Source organism: Homo sapiens, chromosome 6, assembly GCF_000001405.40.
Source record: "Homo sapiens chromosome 6, GRCh38.p14 Primary Assembly".
NCBI lineage: Eukaryota > Metazoa > Chordata > Mammalia > Primates > Hominidae > Homo > Homo sapiens.
Window position 1 is genome coordinate 142,087,701 of NC_000006.12, and position 25,207 is coordinate 142,112,907.

The window sequence follows — 25,207 nt, forward strand, 5'->3', positions numbered from 1 at the left end:
TATTAATCTAATTGGTTTTACTTCTAAGAAATAGTAAAATTCAGTTAATAAATTTAAGTAAGTTCTCCTCTTACTTGAAAGAAATAAAAATTAAATATTTGCCTAATATTAAGCAGACATTCTTACCTATTAGATTCTTACTCTACTGCATAAAGGAAAGAACACTAATAAGATTTTAAGCACACACAGAAAGCTTCAACAAGATACTCGCTCTTTTGCATGTTTATTCTATAGCTTTTCTATGAAATAATATTCCCTAAGTGTCGGAGGTGGGACTAGGAGATGCAATTTTAAATGCAATTTTAATTGTTTTTTTTAAAACATAGTAATTTTCTTATATTTTTCCAAGCCTCACATGTCAGTCCGTTTTAACTCTGTTTACTCTACTTCCCAGGTACACACTCTCTCCCTCTCTTCCTCTCCACACCCAACCTTTCCTTGCGTCCTTCTGCCAGTAGGTGCACTCCGGGTGAGTCTTCTCTACTCGCCCCTCTCCACGACTTTTCCAAGCCACTCACAGCTACCTGTGCTCTTACCTGTCGGCGCTGAGGGCAGTGAGAGTGAACACGGAAACCCCCACGGAAGTGAGCTGGATGACAGGGATCAGTTTGCAGCCCACCTTGCCAAACATCCACTCGTCGAAGAAGTAGCGCGAGGCGTCCACCGGGACGCAGGTGAGCAGCAGCAGCAAGTCCCCGGCCGCCAGGTTAGAGATGAAGATGTTGGGGACGCTCCTCATGGCGCTGTTGGTGATGAAGATCTTCACCAGCATGATGTTGCCCAGCAAGCCCACGGTGATGATGAGCAGGTAGAGGGACGGGATCACACAGCGGATCACCAACTCCGTGGTGGTCCCGTCCGAGGCCGGCAGGAAATCCCTTTCCCACCCCTCGGGAACGGAACCGCTCTCATTCGCGCCGGTGGTCACCGAGAGGTTGGAAAGAGACTTAGAGGGCATGATCTCCTTTCCAGCAGAGTCCGCTGGAGTTTTCACGCGCTCCGGTGCCCTGAGGACTGAACGCCCACGATTTAGGTTTAATCGATGTCCCTCCCTCTCGCCCCTGCAAGTTTACTGTCCGCGGGGCAAGCCTCACAGCACCACGTCCCTAAGAGTTCAGGACCTGGGGAGGGGTCTGTCCACACACTCGGGCGCTCCGCTTCTAGAGGGGGGAAATGGCTCCGGCTAACTCTGAATTTAAATTAAAAAAAAAAAAAAAGCAAAGCGGTTGCGTCTTTGTTCCGTATTCAGTGGTTTGTTCTCGCGGTTATCTAGCGGAAAACAGCCTTTCAGGAACAAGGAGCTGTCCCTTGGGGATCAGTAGAAGCACCTGCCGGACTCTTCGCCCAGAGAAGCAGAAGTCATCCTGGCGCTGTCCAGCGGGCCGCAGCTGAAATCCCGGGAACTAGGCGGGGCCACCTGCAACCTGCTTTTCCCACAGCTTTGCTCTTGTTTGTGAAGTTCCTGTTGTATTGTGTGGAACTGGAGGGGAGGTCAGTCCTCCATGCATGTGTGTGTGCCCCTATATACATCCATCCTTACCCGCCTCCAAGCAGGAGGAGCTCCAGGCAAGAACTTTGGAATCTCTGAGGATTAAAGGGCTGAGTTGGCAAGTCCCTAATGCTGAAACACAGAATTTAGGGGAAAAAAATGAGTGCCAAAGAATGAAGCTCATAAATGAAATCCTCTCGCTACTCTTCTTCTGATCATCTACTGTTCTTACCTTAAATGTGAAAATTATTTCCTATTGTTGGCATATTATTTTTAAATTTATATTTTATTGAATTATAACGTGTATAACGTACACATTTCTTAATCGTTCTGCTTAATCTAACCATCATTCAGAGCCCACAATCTAGCCACCATCTCCCAAAATAACCACCATTTGGCTTGTTATTGAATAAGTGTGCCTCCTATTGAGCATCGTATAAATGGAATCATTCAGCATACACTCTTGTGTCTAGGTTCTTTCACTCGACACCATATCTGTGAGATCCACTCATGTTTTTTCTCAGGTGGCATTTTTCATTACTGTATACTACATCATTTTATAAATATACCACAGTTTGTTTATCCATTCTATATTGATTAACATTTGGGTTCCTTACAATTTTAGTCAACCTGAGTAACGTTTCTATGAACATTCTTTTACATGTGTTCAGGTGCACATTTGAATAAATCCCAGGTGTGGATTTGCCAGGTCATAGTACTTGAGTATGTTCAGCTTTACTGGAAACTGACAATTTTTTAAAATAAATTACTAACTTATTTTTTCTTTTGGAACCTGGCTCGACAATTTTATTTGTTAATTCTATCTATTAAGGCAGAGTATATGTATGCTTATGATTGAGTAATGCCACTCGTAGATATATATTCAATAAACATCTGATATGCTGTTTTAAATAGGTTGTCCCTAAGCACAAAACAGTTTCCCAAATCACCACCATCTGAGTCTAATGTAAACTGATCAGAAATGGTGGCTCAGTTCTGGAGTTAGCTAAATAACACTCTTCATTAGGGAAAACATTTGACTAGTTCTTTGTTATTAAAGGATAAAATTGAACAATTGAATAATAACAATGTAACTAGCCAAGGACTACCTATGATGATCTAGCCATAAACTGATAAGATGTGTATATATGCAATGTCACTTATAAATTAAGCAACTTTTCCAGATATTGCCCACCAAGAGCACTGTCACATCATAATTGAATTAGACAAGGTAAACATTTGCATTGTAATCAATTTTAAGTTTTATGTTTTCTAACTCAAAAGTCCTTATTGTACTCTTCTGGAATTTCACTACTTAAAATAATTCATTATAAAATTAAGATTAGTTAAATAGAATATTTATGTATAAATATATTTGAATATATAAATATTCTATTTATATTTATAAAAATTATACACATATATAGAGGGAGAGGGAGCAAGAGAAAGAGGAAAAGAGAGCAAGGAAATTAATATTACATGTAAGTTGAGAAATGTCTCTAGGAATTTTATCTCCAAAGTTATTTGTTTTCTTTTTAACATCCAATATTACTATACAGAATAAATTACTAAAGCAATCTTCTAATTATGAAGTGTCTAAAATTCAAACTGCAACTATGCCATTTTAACATATTTTATATAAAAATATATTGAAATCGAAATTACTGTATGAATTTTTATATTCTCCTCCTTGTGTCTGTGTGTTCCTAATCATTTAGAAGAGAAAAAAATGTTTAGTCTAAAAGCTGGATTAATAAATATCCAATTGACAGGCATTGTAGAAACAAGCCATCTGGATTGAATTTTCTTCATTTTAAGTAAATTTATATGTATTTACTTAAAGATTTGTGTTCATTGTAGTGAAGAATATAATGAATATTTTAATAATTTTTTTGGTATTTTATTAAAATGTTATAAAGTTATAATAATGTGTTATTTAGATTCATCACAAAATTACATATAAGAACACAGTATTGTCTCATATTAATAGAATGCACACACATCAAAGGTAAACATCTACTGGAATGAAACACTATTTGTTTATTTATGTTTTGAGACAGGGTCTTGCTCTGTCACTCAGGCATATGCAGTGGCATGAAGATGGCTCACTATAGCCTCAACCTCCTTCATTCAAACAATTCTCCTGCCTCACCTTCCCCATGTAGCTGGGACCGCAAGTGTGCCCCACCATGCCTGGCTAACTTTTTTAATTTTTTGTAGACATGGGGTCTCACTTTGTTGCCCCAGCTGGTCTCAAATTCTTGGGCTCAAGCAATCCTCTTGCCTCAGCCTCCCAAATGTCTATAATTATAGGCATGAGCCATAGCACCCAGCCATACAAACTTTATTATTGTATTCAATATGTCATATACCATATTAGGTTTCTTAGACTCATATACTTAATGTTTATCAATATTCCTGGATAAAAATACTTGAGTCTTAACATGATTCACAGAGACAAGATAAATTGTCTAATTTGAAAGAGACCTCATGAAACTGCATTTTGAAATTTATTGTATTTGAAATCAGTGTCTGTTATGTCTCTTTGTTTCTGGAGAAAGCAATTATGTCAAAAAAATGTGATTTCTATATAAATGAAGTATACATTTTTAATCCTGAGTATTTGATGTTTATAAATACACATTGTATATTTTATTGCCCTAGTACAGAACTGTTCAGAACCATATTGATGCTGTTTCAAATTCGTTGACATGAGTATTATTGTTGTAAGTGAATATGAAGAATTTGAAATTTAAACCAATTTTGTAATCCTCATCTGCTTCAATGTATCTATCCTTCAGTGTATTATGAAAAAATATAAAATACTATACTTATGGAGACATTTTATAGGTTTTTCTTAAGATCATGACAAAGGCAAGTATACTCGCTATTATCATTGTTATTTAACACACTGGAGGAGATTCCAAGCAATGCTATTGCAACAGAAATGGAAATGAAAAGCATAGAATTTGAGAGAAAGGAGATACTAATACAAATATATAATATTAAAATTAAAATGGAACTGGCGAAAGAACAGAAAAAAACATTAATGGAAGAGAATACAAAGTTCAAAGTCAGCTGCATGTAGATAAGGAAACAACACTCAAATGTGTATTGCAACAAATAAAAACTTAGTAGATAATACTGGGAAAACTGTTGCACAGGCAAGAAGAATAAAACAGAGTCTCTATGTAATACTATATGTAGTATTATAATTCTAGTGCATTAAAGGTCACAGTATGAAAAAGTAATTTGGGGAAGATAATAGAAGAAAATATTAAAGAATATATATGAGACCACGGGGGTGGGAAGTGATTCCTACTTCAAGTCAAGATGGAGTAACAGAGAATACACTGAAAACATAAAAACCAGACAAAACATATTAAACAGTAGTTTTTAGACACTGGCAGCACAAAAGAGGCAGCACAAAACAGTGATCCCTAAGACAGGTTTAACAGATGAGATGAGCTCTACCATCGCTCTATCTTACTGCCTAGAGAAAGAGTTTTCAGCCCATGCACAAGGATAAGGAATCCACAGTGAGCCTGGAAGTCTCTCTTACTTGAGAAGATGGAATTGGAATCAGCAGAACAGAGAAAAGTGAGTCATACAGAGAAAGAACTCTGGAGATTCACAGAATTTCCCCTTGGGTTTTCAGCTAAATACGTGTTTCTATCTGCATGTGGGAAAATTAACCAATTCTCAGGAAAACACTTACCCAAAAAGGGTAAATTAGTGATTTAAAGAAGCTAAGTTCCTACCAGCCACAGTATAACAACCTTGTAAACACATAGTTTTAGGTACATTACTTAGAAGTGTATTGTGTTTGTAGTTAGGAAAAATTAACCATAGACCAAAGGCTTCTCTGGTCTTGCCCTCAAAGCTTAAAAGCAAGGATTAAAATGGTAAAACTAGTTCTAAGAAACCTGATGGTATCTTAGAACAAAACTTAAGAATTTTTTTTCTTTTTTTTTAATTATTCTTTAAGTTTTAGGGTACATGTGCACAACATGCAGGTTTGTTACAAATGTATACATGTGCCATGTTGGTGTGCTGCACACATTAACTCATCATTTAGCATTAGGTATATCTCCTAATGCTATCCCTCCCCCCTCCCCCCACCCCACAACAGTCCCTGGTGTGTGATGTTCCCCTTCCTGTGTCCATGTGTTCTCATTGTTCAATTCCCACCTATGAGTGAGAACATGCAGTGTTTGGTTTTTTGTCCTTGCGATAGTTTGCTGAGAATGATGGTTTCCAGCTTCATCCATGTCCCTACAAAGGACAGGAACTCATCATTTTTTATGGCTGCATAGTATTCCATGGTGTATATGTGCCACATTTTCTTAATCCAGTCTATCATTGTTGGACATTTGGGTTGGTTCCAAGTCTTTGCCATTGTGAATAGTGCCACAATAAACATATGTGTGCATGTGTTTTTATAGCAGCATGATTTATAATCCTTTGGGTATATACCCAGTAATGGGATTGCTGGGTCAAATGGTAATTCTAGTTCTAGATCCCTGAGGAATTGCCACACTGACTTCCATAATGGTTGAACTAGTTTACAGTCCCACCAACAGTGTAAAAGCATTCCTATTTTTCCACATCCTCTCCGACACCTGTTGTTTCCTGACTTTTTAATGACTGCCATTCTAACTGGTGTGAGATGGTATCTCCTTGTGGTTTTGATTTGCATTTCTCTGATGGCCAGTGATGGTGAGCATTTTTTCATGTGTTTTTTGGCTGCATAAATGTGTTCTTTTGAGAAGTGTCTGTTCATATCCTTCGCCCACTCTTTGATGGGGTTGTTTTTTTTCTTGTAAATTTGTTTGAGTTCATTGTAGATTCTGGATATTAGCCCTTTGTCAGGTGAGTAGATTGCAAAAATTTTATCCCATTCTGTAGGTTGCCTGTTCACTCTGATGGTAGTTTCTTTTGCTGTGCCGAAGCTCTTTAGTTTAATTAGATCCCATTTGTCAATTTTGGCTTTTGTTGCCATTGCTTTTGGTGTTTTAGACATGAAGTCCTTGCCCATGCCTATGTCCTGAATGGTATTGCCTAGGTTTTCTTCTAGGGTTTTTATTGTTTTAGGTCTAACATTTAAGTCTTTAATCCATCTTGAATTAATTTTTGTATAAGTTGTAAGGAAGGGATCCAGTTTCAGCTTTCTACATATGGCTGACCAGTTTTCCCAGCACCATTTATTAAATAGGGAATCCTTTCCCCATTTCTTGTTTTTGTCAGGTTTGTCAAAGATCAGATAGTTATAGACATGTGGCATTATTTCTGAAGGCTCTGTACTGTTCCATTGGTCTAGATCTCTGTTTTGGTACCAGTACCATGCTGTTTTGGCTACTGTAGCCTTGCAGTACAGTTTGAAGTCAGGTAAGGTGATGCCTGCAGCTTTGTTCTTTTGGCTTAGGATTGACTTGGCTATGCGGGCTCTTTTTTGGTTCCATATGAACTTTAAAGGAGTTTTTTTCCAATTCTTTGAAGAAAGTCATTGGTAGCTTGATGGGGATGGCATTGAATCTATAAATTACCTTGGGCAGTATGTCCATTTCCACGATATTGATTCTTCCTACCCATGAGCATGGAATGTTCTTCCATTTCTTTGTATCCTCTTTTATTTCATTGAGCAGTGGTTTGTAGTTCTCCTTGAAGAGGTCCTTCACGTCCCTTGTAAGCTGGATTCCTAGGTATTTTATTCTCTTTGAAGCAATTGTGAATGGGAATTCACTCATGATTTGGTTCTCTGTTTGTCTGTTATTGGTGTATAAGAATGCTTGTGATTTTTGCACATTGATTTTGTATCCTGAGAATTTGCTGGAGTTGCCTATCCGCTTAAGGAGATTTTGGGCTGAGACAATGGGGTTTTCTAGATATACAATCATGTCATCTGCAAACAGGGACAATTTGACTTCCTCTTTTCCTAATTGAATACCCTTTATTTCCTTCTCCTGCCTAATTGCCCTGGCCAGAACTTCCAACACTATGTTGAATAGGAGTGGTGAGAGAGGGCATCCCTGTCTTGTGCCAGTTTTTAAAGGGAATGCTTCCGGTTTTTGCCCATTCAGTATGATATTGGCTGTGGGTTTGTCATAGATAGCTCTGATTATTTGGAGATACGTCCCATCAATACCTAATTTATTGAGAGATTTTAGCATGAAGTGTTGTTGAATTTTGTCCAAGGCCTTTTCTGCATCTATTGAGATAATCATGTGGTTTTTGTCATTGGTTCTGTTTATATACTGGATTATGTTTATTGATTTGCATATGTTGAACCAGCCTTGCATCCCAGGGATGAAGCCCACTTGATCATGGTGGATAAGCTTTTTGATGTGCTGCTGGATTCGGTTTGCTAGTATTTCATTGAGGATTTTTGCATTGATGTTCCTCAGGGATATTGGTCTAAAATTCTCTTTTTTCTTGTGTCTCTGCCAGGCTTTGGTATCAGGATGATGCTGGCCTCATAAAATGAGTTAGGGAGGATTCCCTCTTTTTCTATTGATTGGAATAGTTTCAGAAGGGATGGTATCAGTTCCTCCTTGTACCTCTGGTAGAATTCGGCTGTGAATCCATCTGGTCCTGGACTTTTTTTGGTTGGTAAGCTATTAATTATTGCCTCAATTTCAGAGCCTGTTATTGGTCTATTCAGAGATCCAACTTCTTCCTGGTTTAGTCTTGGGAGGGTGTATGTGTCAAGGAATTTATCCATTTCTTCTAGATTTTCTAGTTTATTTGCATAGAGGTGTTTACAGTATTCTCTGATGGTAGTTTGTATTTCTGTGGGGTTGGTGGTGATATCCCCTTTATCATTTTTTATTGCATCTATTTGATTCTTCTCTCTTTTCTTCTTTATTAGTCTTGCTAGCAGTCTATCAATTTTGTTGATCTTTTCAAAAAACCAGCTCCTGGATTCATTGATTTTTTGAAGGGTTTTTTGTGTCTTTATTTCCTTCAGTTCTGCTCTGATTTTAGTTATTTCTTGCCTTCTGCTAGCTTTTAAATGTGTTTGCTCTTGTTTCTCTAGTTCTTTTAATTGTGATGTTAGGGTGTCAATTTTAGATCTTTCCTGCTTTCTCTAGTGGGCATTTACTGCTATAAATTTCCCTCTACACACTGCTTTAAATGTGTCCCAGAGATTCTGGTATGCTGTGTCTTTGTTCTCATTGGTTTCAAAGAACATCTTTATTTCTGCCTTCATTTCGTTATGTACCCAGTAGTCATTCAGGAGTAGGTTGTTCAGTTTCCATGTAGTTGTTCAGTTTCCATGTAGTTGAGTGGTTTTGAGTGAGTTTCTTAATCCTGAGTTCTAGTTTGATTGCACTGTGGTCTGAGAGACAGTTTGTTATAATTTCTGTTCTTTTACATTTGCTGAGGAGGGCTTTACTTCCAACTATGTGGTCAATTTTGGAATAGGTGTGGTGTGGTGCTGAAAAGAATGTATATTCTGTTGATTTGGGGTGGAGAGTTCTGTATATGTCTATTAGGTCTGCTTGGTGCAGAGCCGAGTTCAATTCCTGGATATCCTTGTTGACTTTCTGTCTCGTTGATCTGTCTAATGTTGACAGTGGGGTGTTAAAGTCTCCCATTATTATTGTGTGGGAGTCTAAGTCTCTTTGTAGGTCTCTAAGGACTTGCTTTATGAATCTGGGTGCTCCTGTATTGGGTGCATATATATTTAGGATAGTTAGCTCTTGTTGTTGAATTGATCCCTTTACCATTATGTAATGGCCTTCTTTGTCTCTATTGATCTTTGTTGGTTTAAAGTCTGTTTTATCAGAGACTAGGATTGCAACCCCTGCCTTTTTTTGTTTTCCATTTGCTTGGTAGATCTTCCACCATCCCTTTATTTTGAGCGTATGTGTGTCTTTGCACGTGAGATGGGTTTCCTGAATACAGCACACTGATGGGTCTTGACTCTTTATCCAATTTGCCAGTCTGTGTCTTTTAATTGGAGCATTTAGCCCATTTACATTTAAAGTTAATATTGTTATGTGTGAATTTGATCCTGTCATTATGATGTTAGCTGGTGATTTTGCTCGTTAGTTGATGCAGTTTCTTCCTAGCCTCGATGGTCTTTACAATTTTGCATGTTTTTGCAGTGGCTGGTACCAGTTGTTCCTTTCCATGTTTAGTGCTTCCTTCAGGAGATCTTTTAGGGTAGGCCTGGTGGTGCTTCTCTATTTATATCTGGTCTACATCTCAGTAAACGCATCATAAGTTGAAAATATCATAAGTGGAAAATGCATTTAATACTCTAACAAATCCATCATAAATAAAGTCAAAAAATCATAAGTCAAATCATTGTAAGTGAAAATGCTCCTCGACTTAGGATGGGGCTACGTCCTGATAAACCCATTGTTAAAGTCAAAATATTGTAAGTTGCACTATTGTAAACTGGGGGCTGTCTGTGATGTTTAAACTATGTAGAACGCAACAAGGTAAAATTAAAATATCTGGCTGACATGCACTTGGAAATTACCAACCATGAAAATCAGCAAGTAATTATATCTAAAAATAAGGACAAAAATCAGTTAATTGAAACTAAACCAATAATGGCACAGATGATAGATGTATAAAAGAACATGAAAAATGTTAACAAGGCTCTATTCCATGTGTTGAAGAAGGAAGTTGCATATTAAGGAGAGACATGAAAAACATAAAAAGACATACATTAAATTTTACAGAAGAAAAAAGTCATAAAAATAAACTTCATAAAATTAGCAGCAGAAAAAAACACTGCAGGAGAAAAGGTAAGGTAATTTCTCAATGTAGTAGTAGAAAGTATCCAAAACAAAATATACAGAGAAAATGACTGGGGAAAAAAATGAATAAAGTGTGCACTCTGGAAAACTTTAAGTGGCCCAATGTGACTACAGTTGGATCTCCAAAGGACAGAAGAAAAAAAGAACAGAAGAAAAAATACTTGAAGAAAAAACAGCCCCAATTTTTTCATAGTTAATGAAAGCTAAACCCTTCACATCCAAGAGGCTCAGCAAACCCCAGGCAGAAGAAACACAAAGAAAAATTTGCCAAGATGAGAAACTCGAAACTATCTTGCTAACATCGGGGATGAAGAAAAATGTGTACTCTCACCATTCCTTTTCAATTTTGTACTGGAAGTTCTCATCAATGCAATAAGACAAGAAAAAGACATAGGGTGATATTGATTGTGAAGGAAGAAATAAAACTGTCTTTGTTAACAAATAACATGATTATCTATTAGAAAATCTGAAAGAATCAACAAAAGACTCTTGCAACTAATAAGTAACCATGGAGAGGTTGCCAAATAAAAATTAATATACAAAAGTAAATCACTTTCCTATATACCGTCAATTACTAAGTGGAATTTGACACTGAAAACATTAAAAAATTTACAGTCACCCTGAAATATGAAGTACTTAGACTAAATCTAACAAAATTTGCATGATCCATAAAAGGAAAATTACAAAACTGAAGAAAATTGGAGAACTAAATAAATAAAAAGATATTCCATATTCATGGATTGGAAAACTCAAGTTTTCCTTGTCAAGTTGTAAGTTCTTTTCACCTTCATCTATAAATTCAATGCTATCTTAATCATAATCCCAGAAAGGTAATCTGTGGATATCAGCAAAGCGATGATAACAGGCACAAGATTCAGAATAGTCAACACAATTTTGAAGGAGAACAAAGTTGGAAGACTGACACTACCTTATTTCAAGACTTATTATAAAGCTACAGTAATCAAAACAGTATGGATATTAATGAAAGAATAGACAAATAGATCAATGGAAGAGACCAGAGAGCCCAGAAATGGACCCACATAAATACAGCCAACTGCTCTTTGACAAGGAACCAAAGGGTAAACATTGGAACCAAGATTAGTCCTTTCAACACATGGTGCTGGAACAACAGGATGTTCTCATGCGAAAGAAATGAACCTAGACATAGAGTTTACACCCTCCACAAAAATTCACGAAAAGTAGATCACAGACCTATATGTAAACCACAAAAATTATAAAATTCCTGGAAGATCACATAGAAGAAAATCTAGATGAACTTGTGTATTCGTTCGTTTTCACACTGCTATAAAGAACTAACTGAGACTGGGTAATTTATAAAGAAAAGATGTTTAATTGACTCATAGTTCCACAGGCTTAACAGGAAGCATGACTGGGAGGCCTCAGGAAACTTACAATCATGTCATAAGGAGAAGGCAAGGCAAAGACCTTCTTCACATGGTGGCCGAAAAGAGACAGAGTGTGAAGGGGAAGTGCCACACACTTTCAAACGAGCAGATCTTTTGAGAGCTCACTCACTATCATGAAAACAACAAGGGGGAAGTATCCCCCTTGATTCAATCATCTCCCACCAGGCCCCTCCCCCGACATGTGCAGATTGCAATTGGAGATGGGATTTTGCTGGGGACACAGAGACAAACCATATCAACTTGGGTATATCGATGACTCTTAAGATACAAAACTGAAGAGATAATCCAAGAAAAAAATAATTGATCAGCTATACTTAATAACTTATTCAAAACTAAAAATTCTGCTTTGCAAATGACACTGTCAAGACAATAAGCAGGCTAAAGACTAGGATTTATGATCCAACACATACAAGTATCACGTAGAACTCTTACAGCTCAAGATATCAAAAATACACAAATAATTTTTAAAATTCATCAGTAAAAAAATAAAAAATCCAATGAAAAAGAGGACAAAACACCTTAATAGACATCTCACCAAAGAAGATACACAAGTGTAAATAAGCATATAAAAAGTTGCTTACATCATGCCATTAAGCAATTGCAAATTAAGACAACAAGATACCCCTATACATTTATTAAAATGGCACAACATTACAACTTTATTCAAAACACTGCCAACTTTAAATGCTGAGCAGGATGTGGAACAATAGGAATTCTCATTCACTAATGGTGAAAACGCAAAATTTGGAAGACAGTTTGGCAGTTTCATACAAAATTAAACATACTCTTACTATGTTATTCATCCATCACACTCCTTCCTGTTTACCCAAAATATTTGAAAACATATGTCCACACAAAAACCAACACATGGATGTTTATAACAGCTTTATTCATAATTGCTAAAAGTTGGAAGAAAGATGTCCTTTAGTAGGTGAATGAATAAATAAACGGTGGTACAACCAGATGATTGGATGTTATTCAGCCCTAAGAAAAATGAGATATCCAGCCATAAAAAGACATTGAAGAAACTTAAATATATTTTGCTGATTGAACTAAGTCAATCTGAAAAGGCTGTGTACTGTATGATTTCAACTATATGACATCCTGGGAAATGTCAAACTACAGAGACAGTAAAATGTGCTTCCCAGGGGACTGGAGGAGGAAAGGACAAATGTGTGGATCGCAGAGGATTTTGCAGTAGTAAAACTACTCTGTATGATAATGTAATTGTAGAAATGTGTAATTATAGGTGGGTTCACACCCAGAGAATGTACAACAGGAAAATTGAACTCTAATGTAATCTATGACTGAGTAATCATGATGTCTCAATATAGGTTCAAATAATTGTAACAAATGTGCCACTTTGATGAGGAAAATTGATAATGGGAGACTATGTACGTGTGTTGGTAGAGGGTATAGGAGACATAACTATACTTTCTTCTTAATTTTGCCATTTCAAAGCAGATTTTACTGTCTTAGTCTGTTCAGACTGCTATAATAAAATACTATAAATTGGGTAGCTTATAAAAAGAGAATTGTATTTTCCACATGTCTGTTAAAAGAGAATTATTAGCCAAATTAAATTTTACAAAGTTTAAATGAGCAGAGAACAATTCACAAATCAGGTAGCCTCCTGAGCCAGAGTAGGCTCAAAGAGACTCCAGTGCAGCCATGTGGTAGAAGGAGATTTACGGACAGAAAAAGAAAAGTGATATACAGAAAACAGAAGTGAAGGAAAGAAACAACCAGATTGGTTATAGATCAGCATTTGCCTTATTTGAACATGGTTTGAATAATTGGGCCTCTTTGATTGGACCAGTCTCAATGATTAGCACAAGAGCAGGTTCCAGTCTGTTTACACTTCTATTCAGGTGATAGTTCACTAGGTACAGAGAAACCTTTATGTCAACCTTAAAATATATAAGGAAACAGCTTTTGGCTAAACTTGATTTCACAATTCCCTGTTTTGGGTCATCCTCTGAAAATTGATCATTGATCAAAATTTTATCATTGATGTCACTAGCACCATGATAAATGTACTTATTTGGTCTCAAAACCCATTGGGAAATAGCAGAACAGTGGGTTTTTTAAGGTTAGAACAAGGACTTCAGATTATTTTCTTTGTAGGGGTTAGGTTACAGGGTAGCTCTTTATGGTGGAATCTCCTGTTTACAGGAGAAAAACAAAACTTGGTTTGTTCTAGGATCGATCTTTTTCTTTAAGGTCTTAGTTTGATTATGTCAGATTTAGCATAAGTGACTCTAATTTGGTTTAAAATGGTCTGTTGGGGCCTAGGGCATGAGCTCAATCCAAAACAATGGCATCTCATAATTTTGCTTAAAAATAACCCTATTTGGTCACGTTCTCACTTAGATGAGAGAATGACCAAAACTTCAGGCCTTAGCACCACTCTCAGTTACCATCACTTTGGGTTTCTGGTCTCAGCACGTCATTTATAGGCTACAGTGCCCTCATGGTCACAGATTTTTTTCAGCTCTTGTCAATCCAGTTGAAGACAGACCATTCGACACTCTAAAGATGGCTGCATGCAAACATTTAAAACTTTTAAGAGAATATAGCACACCAGGGAGACTACTATTAAGACTATCAGGAGGATAATACCAAGAGCTTGGAGTGTGCTCCTTAGCCAGGGTTGTCATGAACCAAACCAACTACAATCAAACAGATCACAGAATGAGCTAAAGAGTCTACTTGCAGCTGGGCGCGGTGGCTCACGCCTGTAATCCCAGTACTTTGGGAGGCTGAGGCAGGCGGATCACGAGGTCAGAAGATCAAGACCATCCTGGCTAACACGGTGAATCCCCGTCTCTACTAAAAAAATACAAAAAATTAGCCAGGCATGGTGGCGGGCACCTGTAGTCCCAGCTACTCAGGAGACTGAGGCAGGAGAATGGCATGAACCCGGAAGGTGGAGCTTGCAAGGAGCCAAGATTGGGCCACTGCACTCCAGCCTGGGTGACAGAGCAACACTCTGTCTCAAAAAAAAAAAAAAAAAAAGTCTACTTGCTTTAACAAAGCAGCCTGTTCATTGATCCCCTACAACTGAATATCTATAATACCCAATGTATTTCTCCATGGGAAACAAGAAGTACAAGCAACTGCACAGATACTTCTGTTTAGCCAGTAAGTAATTTAGAGCAATTCTATTATGTAGTATAACTTTCACAAGAGAATTTAAAGTCTGTTGTGCAACCATTAAAGCCTCCTAACAATGTTCTCTTTAACCTGTGATGTAGGTTAAGAGGAGTGGAACCTATAATGTAGGTTAAGAGGAGTGAATCAGTGTTTGCTTCTCACTAATTATGAGGCAACAAATGTACCATTAAAATTTCTCACCTGCACTGGCCCTTCATCTTCCATTTATCAAGGCATAAAGTTGTCCGTGTATAAGGCTGGCTGCAAAATTCTTCACAAATAAAAATAGACCCCATGAGTGTACACAACAGATGCCCTTTTCAATTCTATTGTTCAAAGAGACATAAGCAAGGGGAAAATGGAAAGATAAGAGTCTCATGATAGCAGAGAAATCTTGATCCATGATCTTGGGGAAGAGCTGTCCATATCAAAGATGCCATCTGCTTCTGGGGAGGAACTTCCTTGGTTAGCTTTACCTTAAGGTTGTAAATGGGTGTACAGTTCCAAGAGTGCAGGGGGCCTATGTGAGTTGTGAGATAATGAACCCAAGGTTCAAGGTGCCAAAGTTTTGCTGCAATGTGGATGGCACAATGGCAGCCTTTCTCTGATACTCTGAGAAGACCATGGAGTCTAATCCTTGGGTTCTAGATTATGAAAGGGTTGATTGTCCCCAGTCAGTAGACCATGAAATGCATTCATTACCTGGTGAAAATATACTTTGGTAAAATGAGCTACTATTATAACAACAGCCCTTTTGTATGTTAAAGCTTTTATACAACCAGAAAGCATGCATTAAAAATTACAATTGAATGAAATCCTTTTATAAATGTTTAAATGGCCCATCAGGTAGCAGAAATGTACATAAAGTTTTAAAACCCAGGAATGAGTTTGATAACCAAACATTGGTCAAAAACTATTTGAGCAATTTAGAACAGCCACCAAAATAATATATTTTTTAATTTGGATAATTTTATTTATTCCATGATGGGTCATGGAATGCAGAGCTTCTAGTAACAAACACTTTAAGGACTCAGGATGAGGTGGCTGTCCAGAATCTCCATGAGTCCATTCTTAACACTAGATTTACATTTTTTAAAATACCAGTTGTTTCTCCAATTTATATGCATAGCACTGATACTGATGGGTTATAAGCAATTTGACTTGCACCATGGAGTTTATTCAAATTGTATATCTAAATATTTCAGTACTGCCTGATTTATCATGAAAATCTCACAAAGTATTTTCTTGGTATTCAGTTAATTTTTTGCCCTGCTTGGGTTAGCAGTTTTATAAACCAATTAATCAATCTTTTCATTAAAGTGTTGAAAATTCTTACCCAGTCCAAATCATATAAGCCTAAAGTTATCAGAAACTTGTATTCAAGAGTGCTTGTCAGGGTTCTTTCTATACTTTCACAAACCTCCTTAAAGATACCATACTCTAGGATTTTGTATGCTTGTAAAGCTTTCAGAAACTGCATTAGAATTAGGCAATTAACTGTGGAAATAACTGACATGTGGAAATAACTGACTATGTCGGCCATACTGGTTTGAACTACTGGCCTTAAGGTATTCTCCTGTCCTTGCCTCCCAAAATGCTGGGTTTAGAGGCATGAGCCACCACACCCAGCATAAATGGTCATAGTTAAAGACACAACTGACAAGGAAATGTGGTCATTTCTGTGGCCTACAATAACTAAATGATAATTATGGTTGATAGCACATAGCTAAACATATTAGAATTTTAGAAATTTTATACCATTTTGGAACATCTATTAATAATATATGCATTAAGATATAACTTGAAGAAGGTTGAAAATCATTTTTTATTTGGCAGTGGTTTCCACGTAATTTAACATGTCAAAACATCGGCTTCTCTCGCCTTTGGATGCTTTAGGGGCTTTCTGCAGAATCCCAAAGTTAGAGATCAAAAAAGACTTAACTTTGAAGCTGAAATTTGATTTTGGAAAGCTTGTCAAATATTTCAAAGTATTAAAACACTTGACCAAAATAGGATCACAGGTCACCATAAAATAATAGTCATTCATTTAGCCAAAGTGATAATTAAAAGATTTTTAAAAATAAAAAACCTGTACTCTTTAATGGAGAAGGCTGTTTTCCAAATAAGGAAAAGACTTAAGACAGTATGAGACAGAATCTATCTCTTCTTCTCTCCTCTCTCCCTCTCTTTTTTTGTTACAGTTTACTCAGAAAGTGAGGAAAAATGTTTGAATGTGTCTGATTAATGTCACATGCATGGATGTGAAGAGACCACCAAACAGGCTTTGTGTGAGTAATAAAGCTTTTTAATCACCTGGGTGAAGGCGGGCTGAGTCCAAAAAGAGAGTCAGCAAAGGGTGGTGGGATTATCATTAGTTCTTATAGGTTTGGGATAGGCAGTGGAGTTAGGAGCAATTTTTGTGGCAGGGGGTGGATCTTACAAAGTACATTCTCAAGGGCGGGAAGAATATTACAAAGCACCTTCTTAAGGGTGGGGGAGGATATTACAAAGTACCTTCTCAAGGGTGGAGGGTGTACTGTACAAAGTACATTAACAAGGGCGGGGGAATATCACAAAGTACATTATCGAAAGGGCGGGGAGGGGGTATTTTCACAAAGTCAGTTGGTCAGTTAGGGTGGGGCAGGAACAGATCACAATGGTGGAATGTCATCAGTTAAGGCAGGAACTGGCTATTTTCACTTCTTTTGTGGATCTTCAGTTGCTTCCGGCCATCTGGATGTATACGTGCAGGTCACAGGCGATATGATGGCTTAGCTTGGGCTCAGAGGCCTGACAATTAATACTATGTAAAATTTTTGTTCAAAAGAGAAAACCAAATTCTAGTTTTATGTTGTGTATTATCAATGTTAAAGCTTATTTTAATAAAACCTGTAAATAAATTTATAAAATCTGTCATCTTTAACCACACAAGATTTCCATAAACCTTTTGTTTTACATTTTCTCCAACTTTATATATTCATCTAGATTTATCTATTTTTTACTCCTTCAATTTGAAACCTGTAACTTCAAACTAGACAAAATTTTTAAACATGCACACATTTTTATGCCTTTATATATTTTCTCATTAAAAGCACATTTTTGTTTATACTTTTGTTTATATGTTCTGTATACAGAATTGTTTCTCTCATATTTAGTAGTTTTAGTTACATACATTAACTACAATTTTAACTTTTAGTAATCCCAATTTGTAGTGAAAACTCTAGAAAGCAATTTTGAACTGTTTGTTTTATATCACCATTTGTAGATAAAAAACATTTTATAATTTTTTTAGAAGGATGGTTCTTCAAATTAGTGCTTATTAACACCTTTTCTATAGCATTTAAAAGTAGCATGTCATTATATAGACTTAAGTTCATGTTTAATAATTTATATTTCAGTATTTTAACTTACAAATGATGTAGACATTTTATGATTATCTATTACTTAATCTAACATAATATGACTTTAAGATTTTAAATTACTGAAAATAATTTGGAACTAAACACAAGAACCCTCCCTAATGTCTTCCCCAGTCATCCTGGGTCCCAAGTAGCCATGTGGCACCCAGGAAGGTCAGGACTATGAAGGTTATGACCTGTCTGAGTCCTGAATTTACATGCTAGGTCTAAAGGGGTCAGAACAGAAGACAGAGCTGTGAAGACTGCAACTGGACAATCTAACTCTTCCCAAAATAGCAAGGAGGCAAAACAGGGAGAGCAGGGAAGAAGGGGCTCTATTGGGCTTGATTCTGGCTTGCAGTTGCTAGTCTGGGTACTGAGAACTTGTCTTGTCTCTAGACCTCATCATGTCCACCTATCCAGACCCCCAAATCCCGAGGCTCTAATCTAAAAACATAAACTCACAGTTAAATCAAGCAAGTTTCTAATTATATTTAACTGATAATTTTGAAACCATTCCTGTTTTACCAAAAACTTTTTAAGCAGCTTTATTTACTAAATAATATCACATACACATAACACATACAGACATACAAACACAGAGAAGCAATTCTTACAGCTTTTATAAAGGATTGTCATTTGCTGGCTTTTAAATAGCTTTTCTTTTCCCCATTCAGACTATCAATCTTCCAATTACTTGTTTCATTGCCCTAAGCAATTGTTAACTAGACAACAAATTTGCATTTCTAAAAAGACAACTCTTAGGTGAAACAAAAAGAATTGTATTTTGTAAGCACAGAGCTAAAATTTTAGGCCTAAATATTGTATTGCCATTTGCTCAAACTAAGGGAAAAATACAGTGCCCAAGTAAAAGTTAAGTCAAGACAAGATGGCCAGAAAAGCACCTTAAACAAAGGTATGGCTTGTGATGTAAATTTAAAACAATGGTAAGAGTTTCTAAAGTATACCAACACACATCCTTAAAAATGGAGACTTCCTTTATAGAAGTAAATTTCTTTTACAAAAGTGTTTCAAGATTGCCAGTTAAATTCCAGAAAGGTGCATTTTAGGTTCATAAGTGTTCTTGTTAACTTAGCTACTGTTTCTTAGCTAGAATTACGAGTTCAGGGCAGAGCTCATCATGAATAGGGCAAAGTATTCTCTGCCTGAACTCAGCATGGATAGATCTGAAAAAGAAGAAAGCCTAGTTTACCTGAGGGCCTATATTTTATAAACACTATCTAGGAGACCAGCCAAAGTCTATGGCATTTGAGACTTGACCCACTCTCTTTATTCCACAATAAAAAAACAAATGTCAAAGAAAGGCCTCAAAAACCAGTCTTGCAAAGGGGGCTGAATTTAATTGGATTACACTGTGGAACAATTAATGCCCCCAAGGCACTACTAAAAACTATAAAGCAATCAGCCAGCAATTCAAGGAGGCTAACAACTGGATGTAATACTTACAGTGGCAGACAAATTAATAATTAAATCAGAGAAAGAAAGAATCAAAGAGAATATTGCTAAAACCACTTCATCCCAGGGTGATGATGCACATACTCAAGGCTTCACCCTCTGAGTAGTGACATCAGAGGTTGAACATTGTGGGAAAAAATAGACATTATTGAAATGGTACACCTTGTTACTAAAAAATCCAACAAGTTCCATATACAGATTTACTACAGTATATTTTCTAAAATGTCTAGTTTTCAACAAAAAATTATGAAACATACAATGAAACTGAGTGTGACCCTTATACCGGAAAAATGTAGGCAACAAAAACTGCCTTTCAGAGAATCCAAATGTCAAACTTAGCAGAAAAAGACCTCAAAGCATCTAATATAAATATATTTAAAAAACTAAAGAACACCATAAAGAAGGGAAGAAAGGTATGAGGACAATGTCTCAACAAATAGAGACTATCAAAAAAAAAGTAAAAGTTATTTTAAAAAACAAATGGAAATTCTGCAGTTTAAAAGTACAGTACTTGGAATGAAACATTTACTAGAGTGCTCAGCAGTAGATTTGAACTGGCAGAAGAATCAGTGAAATTAAAGATAGATTGACAGAGATTATATAATCTGAAAAACAGAGAAGGAAAAAGAAAAGAAAGAAAAATAAACAGAGCCTCATAGACATGTAGAACATAATTAAGCAAACCAAAATATGCATAATGAAAGTAACAGAAGTAGAGGACAAAAAGGAATGAGCACAAAAGTTATTCAAAAAAGTAATGACTGAAAACCTTCCAAATTTGACTTAAAACCATCTATACATCAAAGAAACTCAATAAATTCCAAATAGGACAAACACAAAGAAACCTACACTTAGACATATCAAAGTAAAAATATTCACAGGCAATGATAAAATAATAAAAGCAGCATGATAAAAATGACATTTACATAAAAGGAAACACCAGTAAGGTTATGTACTAGTCTGTTCTCACACTGCTATAAAGAAATACCTGAGATTAGGTAATTTATAAAGGAAAGAAGTTTAATTGACTCACAGTTGTGCATGGCTAGGGAGGCCTCAGGAAACTTACAATCATGAGAGAAAAGGAAGCAAACACATCCTTCTTCACCTAACTGCAGAAGAGAGAAGTGCCGAGCAAAGGAGGAAAAGCCCCTTATAAAACCATCAGATCTCGTGAGAACAATTACAAGAACAGCATGGAGGTAACCGCTCCATGATTCAATTACCTCCCACCTGGTCCCTCCCACAACATGTGGAAATTATGGGAACTACAATTCAAGATGAGATCTGGATGGGGACAGAGCCACACCATATCATTCTGCCCCTGGCCCCTTCCAAATATCATGTCCGCACATTTCAAAACCAATCACGCCTTTCCAATAGTCCCCCAAATTCTTAGCTCATTCTAGCATTAACCAAAAAGTCTACATCCAAAGTCTCATCTGAGACAAGGCAAGTTCCTTTCTCCTATGAACCTGTAAAATCAAAAGCAAGTTACTTACTTCCTAGATACAATGAGAGTACCGGCATTGGATAAACACACTCACTGCAAATGGGAGAAATTGACCAAAACAAAGGGGCTACAGGCCCCATGCAAGTCTGAAATCTAATCATGCCCACCTCAGCTGATGCATGAGGTGGGCTTCCACAGCCTTGGGCAGCTCCAACCCTGTGGCTTTGCAGGGTACAGCTCCCTGCTTCAGCTGTTTTCATAGCTTGCATTGCGAGTCTGAGGCTTTTCAGGCACATGGTGCAAGCCATTGGTGGATCTACCATTCCGGGCTCTGGAGGAGAGTGGCCCCCTTCTCATAGTTCCATTAAGCAATACCCCACCGGGGACTCTGTGTGGGGGCTCTGACCCCACATTTCCCTTCCACACTTGCACCCATGGTGAGCACCTGCAAAAGTCACTGGGACTCGAGGATATAAGGTCAGAAGTAAGAAAAAGATGCTTTTTAAAATCTCCTTCATGTACCCCAGGTATTCATTGGAAAGAGAAAGAAATACATTTCTCCAAAAAATATATATAATCAGTGTGTAAGACATTGGGTATGTCTTTTTTTTTTTTTTTTTTTTTGAGTTGGAGTCTCACTCTGTTGGCCAGGCAGGAGTGCAGTGGCACGATCTCTGCTCACTGCAACCTCTGCCTCCCAGGCCAATCAGCACATGAAAAGATGCTCAATATTATTACCCATCATGGAAATGCAAATCAAACTCACAGTGAGTTACCACATCACACTCATTAGGATGATTACAGGGATGAAATGCTACGATCTGAATGTTTGTTACTCTTTTAAAATTCATACATTGAAAACTAATTCCTAGGGGTATTGTATTAAGAGGTGGGGCCTTTGAGAAGTGATTAGGTCATAAGGGTAGAAACCTTATGAATGGGATTGATGCCCTCATAAAAGAGGCCCAAGGGAGTTTATTTGCCCCTTCCCACATGTAAGGATGCCGCAAAATGGCACCATATATAGATATGAGCCTTCACCAGACACCACGAGTCTCCTTGATCTTGGACTTCCCAGACTTCAGAACTGCGAAAAATAAATTGCTCTTGTTTATAAGTTACTCAGTCTAAGGTATTTTGTTATAGCAGTTTGAATGAACTAAGACAGATGGCTACGACCAAATAGATGGACACAAAAAAAAGTGTTGGCAAGCATATGAAGAAATTCAATCCCTTATACATTGCTAGTGGAAATTTAAAGTGGTGTAGCCGCTTTGAAAAACAGTCTGGCCATTCCTCATAAGGCTAAACATAAAATTACTACATTATCCAGCAATTTCAATCCTAGGTATATACTCAACACAATTAAAAATATATGTCTACACAAAACCTATATACACATCATCACAGAATTGTTCATAATAGCCAAAAAGTAGAAACAACCCAAAAGTCCAATCAACTAATGAATGGATTAAATAAAACATGTTAAATTCATACAATGGAATATTGGATGGCATTAAAAAAGAATCAATAAGCAATAATATGGATGTATCTTGAGAGTATTATGCTAAGTAAAAGAAGCTAATTTTGAAAGATCACTATTGTATGATTACATTTATATGAAATGGAGTGCATGAAATTTATGTGAAATGCTAGAAGAGGCAAATCTAGAGAGATAGAAAGATTAGTGGTTGCCTAGGACTAGGGGAGTTGGGGGGAAATGCTTACAGATGTGGATTTTCTTTTGAGGGTGATAATATTTTTAAACTTACCGTGGTGACAGTTGTACACTCTGTGAACATACCAAAAACTATTTAATTGTACACTTTAAATGGGTAAATGGCATGTGATATGAATTATATATCAACAAAGGTGTTAACTAAAGGAAGAAAGAGAAGGAAGTGGAGGAGGACCTGCCCAGATCATCAGCTTTTCATCTTAACTGCCAAATTCGTTTATAGAAAATCTATGAGAACCCCCCTAACTATGGAGGTTTCTAAATGGGTAATATAGTTTACATCAGTGTCTTTAATAGCTTTGATCAAAATAAAATCGAATTAGACATAGATCAAATAAGACATACTGGCTGCGTGCGGTGGCTCACACCTGTAATGCCAGCACTTTAGGAGGCCAAGGCGCATGGATCACTTGAGGCCAGGAGCTTGAGACGAGCCTGGCCAACATGGTGAAATCCTGTCTCTACTGAAAATACAAAAATTAGCCAGGAGTGGTGGCATGCGCGTGTATTCCCAACTACTCAGGAGTCTGAGGCAGGAGAATTGCTTGAACCTGGGAGGCAGAGGTTGCAGTGAGCAGAGATCGTGCCACTGCACTCCTGCCTGGCCAACAGAGTGAGACTCCAACTCAAAAAAAAAAAAAGACATACCCAATGTCTTACACACTGAAATCACTGAGACACAGGCTTAGCCTTTATACCACCCTACACAACAAAACCTGTTACCTAAGAAGAGGTCATTTATATTAGCAAGGGGCAATGAGTACAACAATCATAATTTCTGATTTGTTGGAACCCAAACAAAATTAAATGATTTTCTTAGTGAGAAAAGTTGCTTTGGTTACATAATAATATGATTTCTCGGAATTTTCCAATTATTAATATTACTTGTAAAAAACCACTAGCTTGTCACTTATGTATTTGTCTCTTAACCTTAGTCGTATTTGAGGGAACTTCTTTAAAATAGTTTTATCCACCCACCGGTTTCAAATAGGATTATAAAAAAGTGAATAAATCATTTTATGCAAATTGAAACATAGAACTGAGATGAGATTGGTTTTTACTGGATGAAAATTGAATAGTGAAAAACTTAGGCTACGAGAAATGTCAATGCTGATTTAATCTGTATAGAAAGGTGACCAGAGAACGTGCATCAGTACGCTCTAAGTAAACGCCTCTGAATTCCCATTTAAAATGTAGCTGTTTCTTTCTTGGTAAGATGGCTCCCAAATAACTTGTTCAGGAACCATCAGGGCACTCCCCAACCCAAAAGTGAATGTCATGTTTGTAGCTTAATTCTTAAACTGAAAAGGTAAGCAAATACTTCAACCCTTTCTAATTAAGTAGCATTTGCTTATTCAAAATATCTATTTAATTGCCACAATACATCTGATTTTCATTCCAAATGTTTAACAGAGTAAAAAAATAGTAATTTTCTGGCTGGGTGCAGTGGGTCACGCCTGTAATCCCAACATTTTGGGAGGCTGTCGGGAGAATCGCTTGAGGCTGGGAGTTCGAGACCAGCATGGGCAAAATGAAAAAGAAAATAGTAATTTTTAAAGTTGGAACACTTGGCCTGAATGGGAAACTGGTAAATAACCTGCTAGGTATTTTTCAAAGATAAGCAGGATTCTAATTTCTAAGCAATTAGTAGCTCCCAAGAATCTCATTTGCATTCGATATTTCATGTTTAACAGAATCACCACAATGTAATCTAGTTTTTCTCCTATTGCAGCATATGTCAGGAAAGCACTTCATATAGGTGAACAACTAGGCTTAGTTTTCAGTGGAAAAAGATGCTTTATTTTTTTCAAATATTATGAAGTAGACAAGAAACAATAAACATTATGCTCAAATTAATATAAAGCATGGATTGGATAAATCTCTCAAATAATTTGATGTGGCATCTGCACTCCTCAAATGAGAGACAGTACAATCAGCCTGCCTTTACTCCCAACATCCTTATTTCTAAACTCAGTAATAAATCCTCTGTGGCAATAGGATTTGACAATTCGATATTGTACGTCTCGTTAGCGCCACCTACTGAGTGCTGGTCACATTTTGTAAATCTCAGTTAAAAATCACTGGCTGAAAATGCAGAAGGAACCAAATCAAAGTAACAAAAGGATGACAATAGAATGATTACATCTCCAGCTTTTTATTTTCATCAATGCTATTTAAGTATAGGTACAGTTACCAGAGCAGTGAATGTCATGTCAGAAAAAGAATTAATTATAAATTACATTTATATAAATATGATAATTAATTTGATTAAAAGAGGATTTACATTGACAAAAGC

General features: G+C 36.8%; 1 protein-coding gene across 3 annotated transcripts in view, besides 2 other annotated features; it reads right to left on the reverse strand.

Annotated features, from left to right (window-relative positions):
• The window catches only part of NMBR (neuromedin B receptor), a 72,639-nt gene that overhangs the window by 13,217 nt on the left and 34,215 nt on the right, over window positions 1-25,207 (reverse strand). Inside the window, exon 2 of one of the 3 annotated variants that reach the window (NM_002511.4) lies at window positions 537-1,621. The exons of the other annotated variants lie outside the window; for them this stretch is intronic. Within the exon in view, the coding sequence (NP_002502.2) occupies window positions 537-958 (422 nt within the window). The 5' untranslated portion in view covers window positions 959-1,621. The remainder of the gene's footprint in view (window positions 1-536; window positions 1,622-25,207) is intronic. 3 annotated transcript variants of the gene reach the window in all.
• Window positions 268-821: an enhancer, noted in NCBI's record as "H3K4me1 hESC enhancer chr6:142409105-142409658 (GRCh37/hg19 assembly coordinates)". NCBI's record gives its function as "activates a minimal SCP1, AML or CMV promoter by ChIP-STARR-seq in naive H9 embryonic stem cells {active_cell/tissue: H9 hESC(naive)}" and the evidence as "EXISTENCE:reporter gene assay evidence [ECO:0000049][PMID:30033119]".
• Window positions 822-1,373: an enhancer, noted in NCBI's record as "H3K4me1 hESC enhancer chr6:142409659-142410210 (GRCh37/hg19 assembly coordinates)". NCBI's record gives its function as "activates a minimal SCP1, AML or CMV promoter by ChIP-STARR-seq in naive H9 embryonic stem cells {active_cell/tissue: H9 hESC(naive)}" and the evidence as "EXISTENCE:reporter gene assay evidence [ECO:0000049][PMID:30033119]".